The sequence below is a fragment of the Homo sapiens genome, chromosome 4 (genome assembly GCF_000001405.40).
Source record: "Homo sapiens chromosome 4, GRCh38.p14 Primary Assembly".
Taxonomy (NCBI): domain Eukaryota; kingdom Metazoa; phylum Chordata; class Mammalia; order Primates; family Hominidae; genus Homo; species Homo sapiens.
The window spans coordinates 163,045,752-163,054,280 of record NC_000004.12 but is presented as its reverse complement, the minus strand read 5'-3'; the positions used below and the strand labels follow the sequence as shown (position 1 = coordinate 163,054,280).

At 38.1% G+C, this 8,529-nt stretch overlaps 1 annotated feature.

Moving 5' to 3' along the window:
- Positions 2,134–2,303: an enhancer, noted in NCBI's record as "experimental_75656 CRE fragment used in MPRA reporter constructs". NCBI's record gives its function as "activates a minimal promoter by MPRAs in K562 erythroleukemia cells, with activity observed for both the introgressed and non-introgressed 4:163973215 variant alleles {active_cell/tissue: K562}" and the evidence as "EXISTENCE:reporter gene assay evidence [ECO:0000049][PMID:34662402]".

Genomic DNA, 8,529 nt, shown 5'->3' with positions numbered 1-8,529 from the left:
ATAGTAACTTGGTTACCTATCCCAACCTTTTCTTACTCCTCCTACACTCCACAGACATATAAACAGATCATGAAAACTACTATCATTTTCAGTGTGGAAAGAAGTGTAGGGTGATATGTATGACTCTGAATCACAGGGAAGATTCTTTAGGGGAACAATGTGCTTAGAATATAATACCCTTCTAAATCTAGGACTTACAAGCAGAGCAATGAGTGAGTGGTTCATAATGTTTTTAAAAGATGACAGACTCCTGACTCCTTTGAGAAGATGATGAAAGCACCAGATCTATCTCCAATCGGGCCCAGAAAGAAAAGACTTTTTTTTTTTTTGCATTAAATTTGGGAGAGTTCATACATCTTCTGAAACCCAGTTAAATATCCAAGGTTTAGCAAGAATCCAAGGTTTAAGGGTTGGCGAAAGAAGTTTAGTTGAATGATTGCAAAAGTTATAGAGAAGCAAGCTTCTAAATAACCTTTCCTATATTAATATGTATCATGTCTGTATTTAGAATGTATCATATTTTAACTCATGGATGGAACTCTTTTGGAAAGCAAAGGTAGTATCATTTAATGTTTAATTCCTGGTGATGTGTCTAGATAAACTTACAGAATCTTGAGGAATGTATATTTAAGAATCTAAGAGACTGCTTAAACTTTCTAGACAGCAATCAATTCTGGGTAAATCAATTACCTCGGTAAATAGTCAAACAGGGATTTATCAACTTTATCTAAAAGACCAGTAGATCAATGTGAGGAATAGGAGTCAGCAACCACTTGTTCCCCAGCATCCCTTATTTACTGTTATCCTTGGTCCCAATGTGAAGATTAGTTCATATTGCAGTCAGTGGGACAATGTTCATTTAGTTTTCTTTTCCTAGTTGCTCTGTTAAATACTTGAGTGAGGCTTACATTAAAAATGGCAGTACAGAACGTTCATGATACCTGGAACCTGGCCAATGATAAGCCAATAGGAATGTCTAAGTTTGAGTTGATAATAAATGACACAGGTGGCTCTCACTCTGATAACAGGACAGCACCTCTGTTTGTTTCAACTCTTATCTCTTCCTTTTGATACTTTTAGTATGATCTTTTAATCAACTATCTCACTTCACAATACTCAAAAGACAAACAGAGTTTGTCATAATTGAAGAGCAAGAAAGACAAACTGTGTCTTCTTTTTTCTCATGTTGCTGACATCCATCCACTTCCTAGGACAAGTTCAATAAATATTTGTTAAATATAGTTGAATTTTACATGTGAAGAAATCAGAAACAAGACACATTATCTGAGTTCCTCAAGGCATTTATCTAGTTAGTAATGGATTAAGGACTATAAGTTTGTCTATTGACTTAAAAATAATCCTTTTCCATTATAGGTGAAATTCTAAGGTATTTTGTGTGACCACCTAAAACCTACAGTACAGTTAGGATCCTAGGAGTCCTTTCCATAGGAAATTTTATGTTCTCTGATTTTGCTGAAGTTCCTTTAGCAATTTCAACCATTATAACGGAGGCAAGCACTAATAAAAACATCTTACAAATATTCACGAGCACACCTTTGACAGAGTTCAGGTGCTGGCCTGCTAAGATATTCCATTTTCCATTTTAGTTATCATCAACATCTAGGGATTCATCAAACTATATGACTAAAAGCTGGTATTATCTCGATTTTTGAAAAATTAGCTCTTTCTGCTCTTTTCTTTATCTGGTTATTTTGCCATTTGTTATGTTAAAATAAAATTGCTTCATACTACTTCATGGTGATGCCTTCCCTATCAGTTTCATGCACTGTACATCCACAAATGCTAGATGAATAAATACAGCACATTCTACCATTACTCCCTATTTAGCATAAGAATGCATGACAGACTGGGGGCCGTAGCTCATGCCTGTAATCCCAGCACTTTGGGAGGCCAAAGTGGGTGGATCACCTGAGGTCATGAATTAGAAACCAGCCTGGCCAACACAGTGAAACCCCATCCCTACTAAAAATACAAAAATTAGCTGGGCGTGGTGGCAGGCACCTGTAATCCCAGCTACTTGGGAGGCTGAGGCAGGAGAATCACTTGAACCCAGGAGGTGGAGGTTGCAGTGAGCCAAGATCGCATCACTGCACACTGGCCTAGGTGACAGAGTGAGACTCCGTCTCAAAAAAAAAAAGAAAAAAAAAATGCATGACAAACTTGGATAAAAATGAATGTGTTTTTAGTTTGAATATTTCTTTATTATTGTTTTCACTGGAGAAACACAACAACTCATTTATTTTTATATCCGATACAAATTTCTCATATATAAAGCAATATGATTTCCCCATACCATGAAATGTTTTCTTACCTGTCATTAATTATTATTAATAGTAATGGGAGACAGAGCGAGCTCCTGTCTTAATGCTGCTGCTACTACTACTAATGGGCATTGTGTGTACTGTGAGCCACACTACACAATTTTTTTGGTGTGTTTCTCCTTCTGTTTTCTCTTTAAATATCTTAGTGCTACGAACTTTGAGAAAATTTGCTACTAATGAAACAAAATTTGCTACTAATGGAAACTAGCGACTCCACCTGTCCCTTTCTGTTCAGTTATTAGAAGAAATATCACTTCTTATTTTGAGAACAATATGTAACTATTTTTATTGAAAGGCCCTAGTGAATTGTTGGGAAACTAACTCATGGTAGTTACTCTGTGGATTGTCACTTCAGCAGAGAACACTTTCTGTTACAGAATAGAGCAGACAGATGCTGGGTCTACATCTGTGTACTTCAAACACACTGAAAGCATAAAGTCAGGCTAAGAGCACTTGATGAATGGAAGAGGCAAGGAGAGATGAAAAGGCTGTAAATACAGAAAGAGTTACAGTACAGCAGGTTCTGGAAACCATTTGGTTGGAATACATTTAAAGGATCCACATGGCAATGGTAACGATGTCTTGCCTAATATCCAGCCCTGGGAAGCAGATAACTTCAAAATATGCCATGTCATTTCAACTGTGGTAATAGAAGTCATTTTGCAACTCTTAAAGTCCATAGAATACAAGAAACTGAAGCAGAATTCACTGTGGTTTTAATTCCACATTGCTTTATGGTATGATCTACCTTGGCTACAATACAAAATTTCTAGACAAAATTTTAGATGATACTTTGTTATCACTGCCTCTTAAATCTATTCTTGTCTTTATATACAATAAATTAATTTTAAACTGAAGCCACAGTTTAATCTCTTACTTCTAGAGGAAAGATGCACTTCCTTTTGTTAGGTTGTTTGACTAAAACAACCTAAAAAAAAAAAAAAAAAAAAGCACGTCTTGTGACCAGCCTGGCCAATATGGCAAAACCCCATCTCTACTAAAAATACAAAAATTAGCTGGGTGTGGTGGTGGGCCCCTGTAATCACAGCTACTTGGGAGGCTGAGGCAGGAGAATCGCTTGAACCCGGGAGGCAGAGGTTGCAGTGAGCTGAGATCGGGACACTGCACTCCAGCCTGGGCAACGAGAGTGAAACTCCATCTCAAAAAAAAAAAAAAAAAAAAAAAAAAAGGACCTCATTTTAGATTAGGTTTTCTATACCTCAGCAATATGGATATTTAGGCAGGAAAATATTTTGTTGTGGGAGGCTGTCCTGTGCAATGTGAAATATTTAGCAGCATGTCAGCCTCTGCCCACTAGATGCCAGAAGCATCTCCCCCATCAGGTTGTGACAACTAAAATGTCTTTGGACATTCCCAAATGTCTTCTGGCTGCAGTGGAGTGGTGGTGTGTGCAGCAAAATCGCTCCTACTTGAGTCACTGCTCTAGATTCTGGTCCTATAATGTTATTTTGTGGAGTCATGTGATCCTAATTCCTAGCAGCATTAAAAGGATGTGACTGAGTGGTGAACTGTAATAAACTCAATAGCTTCAACTCTTGAAAAATTTAGAAACAAAAGATAATTTTTAAAAAAGTAAAATTCACAATTATTTTGGCAACCAAGATGGAAAGATGCTTTCATATGAATGACTTGATCTTCAGGCATTTGGTGCTTTACTTGAATATGGCTATGATTATAAAATTTCATTAGCATGCTGCCTTCAATGCTTGGTGTTCACTGAATAATTACTTACCACTGGGGGTGTTTTACCTGGTGATTCTAGCTGGTAATGTGCTACCCAGGCTTTCATTGCTATTATATGTGTATCATATTAGCTTTTACTTTCTTTTTTACACAAAAGACCTGCATGAATCCCACACTGTAAGAATTAGCTTTCCTTTTTACACAGTGAATGTACTGAGACCCCCTGTTGGTACAAATAGGCCTAGAATGGAACATAATTTGGCATTATGTTAAGTGCTGCCATTTCCAGGATGGTATAAATCCTGCATTTAGGAGGGCTTCTTTCTCAATGAGAAAGTGGCACAAATGTTTACCTTCCAGCAGGTATTTTTTCACATTCATTGATTCAGGATTTACTGGGCACTATAGTGCATACGGCGCCAACATACTACCTTCCCTCAAATTATTTACACTTTAGACAGACTAGAAAAATGACTTAATTGTGTGGGAAGGTAAATTACAAAGCAGAACAATGATATGAGAGTGGCTGAGAGATTATATGCAAAGAATTTTTAATAGGGTGCTCTATGCACCATAGTATTCTCAAGATAAAATCTAGAGGGGAGAGAGATCACTGCCGGATCTTAGATTACCATGTATATTTTCATCTAGATCATTTTGAAAGATGAATAGGAGAAGGAAGAGCTTTTCAAAAGGGTAAAATGGTATGGGCAAAGCACAAAAGAAGCAATCCAATTGCGTATTTGTGGGGGATGATATGTAGACCATTCCGATTTGCATCGATATTTTGTGTATGGAGTAGAGAGGTTAATTAGAACAAGGTTAGAGAAGGTTTTACAATTTTGGTTTCATTTTTTCTTTAGGAAAAAGGGGAACACTTTTGATGCTTTTAAACGAGGAGGATAACTTAAATAAAGCAGTGTTTGAGGAAAATGGATCTGATAGTAGTACTTAGTGAGGACAATGAAATGATACAGCCATGGCAAGATCTTTGTATCTCATGTCAACACCAACCAGAGAGCACCCATGATGGAAGAAGCACTGAACAACCAAGAGAACGAATGGCTCAGCCAGTTGACCCTACCAGCCTGGGTGATTGGCCACACCAGCACTGGCCCAGTGGGCACAGAAACAGTGACCTTGTTGGCAGAGATGGAGACCATATATATAAAGTCCAACAGCACAGGTCCCCCCTAACTATAGCAGTCCCCCTTTATCTGTGAGGGCTATGTTCCAAGACCCCCAGTGGATACCTATAACTGTGAATAGTACTGAACCCTGTATATACTCTGTTTTTTTCATATACACATGTATCTATGATAAAGATTTGTCTATAAATTAGGCACAGTAAGATATTAAAAACAGCACTAAGAAAATAGAATAATTATAACAATATACTGTAAGGAAAGTTATGTGAATGTGGTCTCCCTCTCTCTGTACCACAGGCCACGAAGACCCTGGAAAGCAAACTTGCACTTAAGGGACAACTGCTGCACATCTGATCTAGCCATTGCCGCTGCCAAAAGTCCCAACTGCCTACAATGGTAACTGATGGGGAGGACCTTGGTCTTCAGAAGATGAAGCAGCCACCTGGTGGCAAGTGGGCATCATTGCTCTTTTTCTACCCTGAGGAGAAACAATTAATTTTGATGGAAATATGTTACATTTTTCAGCTCCAGGTTTGCCTTTCCTACTTTTGGGGCTTTAGCCAAAACCCATATTCAAGGGCTGACATGCGTCTGATCCATTGATATGGTAACCCATGCAACATCACATCAGAGAGCCTACTTAACAGGAAAGGAGGTTTACCAATGAAAATATGAACCAAAAGGTCTACAGGTTCTGTCACATACTATACCACCCGGGACCTGCAGGGATTATAGAGCAATGGCATAGTTCATGGGAGGCTCAACTGAAGCACAAGCCCGATATGATGCACTGCAAGATGAGCTGCCATCCTCCAGGATGCAATATGCAAGTTAAATCAAGGACTAGTGTGTGGTGCTGTGTCTTCAGTTGTTAGAATACATGGGTCTGGGAGCTAAGGGGCAGAAGTAAGCATTCTCCTGCTAACTATCATCTGTACTTTCTAGCGCCACAATCATGGCTTCTGCAGATTTAGAGATCCTGGTTCCCAGAGAGGGAAAAGCTTCTAAAAGAGTTACATGAAAAGTTGCCAGCTTTAAAGAGCATTCATCATCCTGGCAGAAATAATACACCCAGATTATCAGGAGGAAGTCGTGGTGTCATTACACAGTGGGGGAATGGAGGCATCTCTTTGACATCTAGCTATCCACTTGGTTGTCTCTTGGTACTCTCTTGCCCAGTTTTCAGTGTAAATGGGTATAATAGTCATTGCCTGAGAAAGAACTGGTGGCCAGAGGCTGAGAGCCTGCAAGGATGAGGATTTGGCTCATGCCCATCAGGTGAGCCACCTAGTCCAGCAGTGGCACCAGCTGAAGGCAAGCAGGATCTAGAATGGATAGCAGGGAAAGGAAAAGATGAGTAATAGTCGTGAGACTCTGTGCGCGCTAGAGTTCATCCCACAAACCTCCCCGTTCTGTTTCTTCCCAAGAAAAGAGGACTATCAGAATCCTGGAGGAGCTGTTTCCTGAACTTACATGAAGTGGATCTGAGTGACCAAAGAGTAAATGGCATTAGATGCTGTGATGCACTGTCCAGTTCCCCTTTCAGAACCGAAGGACTTACTCTCCCAGCTGCTGGGAATGATGCCTGCTGATAATGATCAATTATTGACCTTCTCCTGTTAACTTACCTCAACAACTCCCTTCCCCAGGGCAGCCTGAATCCAACCCATGGTTGATGTGGAAGTGGGGGCTGGGGAGAGGATTATACAAGTTTGCTGTCTCAGTCATCCCTGAGAAGCCTGAGGAGAAAAAAGTTTGATGTCTTTGTCTCAACTCAGGAAGTCTCTGAAGGGTGATTCCAGCTGTAGAGTTCCTTATTACAAGTGTACATCAGTAAAACTTTTTCCTCTGCAAATACAGCTTCCTCTCCTTCCCTTCTCATCCCAAAAGTTGATTCTAGGAATATGTATGAAGTTGTAATACACTTCTTGAGCACTATTCTACATCTCAGAGTTCACCTCCTGGGAAGCCAGCTATGACAGTTACATTCTACTTCTCTACTACTCTGTTTGCCTTTATTATAATCTGCATAAATTTTTACAATAGCCCTTTTATTTCCCTCCCCTACCCCCATTCAGGCTTTAAAATAGGCCACATATCTAATGAAATTATACTGCTGTCACATTTCATTTCTCTAAAGATAGCTTTAGCACAGTCGCCTAGAAAATTGGTGAAAGACTGTTCACTTTTACACATTTAACTGTGAAATCAGGTGATGATTTACATAACAGTAGGTCTCCTACTTTTAGAAGCTTTGGAATTGATTAGATAGTAACTTTTCACTCAAATTTAGCCACAAGTTGTAGGCAGTGACTGATGAGGTGAAAATGTAGATAATTCTCTCACTGTTTTCTTTCTTTTGTAATATTTGTAATATAATTTCTCCTCAATTATTGATCCAGCATCATATTTTCCTCCATAAAACACATCTATCCCCTCAATTGCATAGGCTTAACATGGTTTTTCTTTGTGTTTTTATATGTGTTTCTTCTCCTGAATTCCAGAGTAGCTATATTTGAAAGAAGACAGAGTCATATAAATATTGAGTGTATTTTGTATATGAAATCGCTGTTACTGATGAAATATACAGAGAGAAAGATAACACAGCTTTTCACATTGAAAGTACAAATAAAAATTAGGAAGGAATGAGTTGTTTTACTATTTCTATCTCATACTCTCATAGACATAAAAATTATAATTTTTTGCAGACATTACCATATTAGGTAAATAAATTTTCTTCATTGCATTCCTTTAACAGCCAATTTGCAAAATCAGAAATAAAAAACCTACTATTATGAATGAGCATACACAAGAAGTCTTTGACTTTGTTTTCTATTTTTACTTCATCTTAAGGCATGTTTCCATGTGCCAGTTTTAATTTCTTTTTTTAAGCACACATAGAAATAAGCTGAAGCTAATAATCTCAGCTTATAAAGCAGATAAGTAGTCAAGACAAAATGTCTACGGCTAATAGAACAAGAAATATAAATTAAACAGATTTTACAATTTTCCAGCTATTATCGTATTTGGAAAAGGTGGAGGGAAGGTGAGACATCTTATAAGTGAAAAAAAACCCATTTATTTTATTAGGATGCTACTAAATGAAGTTGAAAGTTTGTGTATGAAGAAATAGGAAAGAAGCTCAGAATTTTGGGGATAACAATAAAAAAAAAACAAATGGTGAGAAGTGATTGCACATGGGCGCGGGATGGAAGTGAGAGGTGTGGAAAAGGTCACTCCTCAATGTTTCAAAATATTTGCTTACATTGTGTTGATTTAAAAAACGGAATTCAAGTTTTATATGTAAAACTTTTAAGATGGTTCAGTATTTGTAG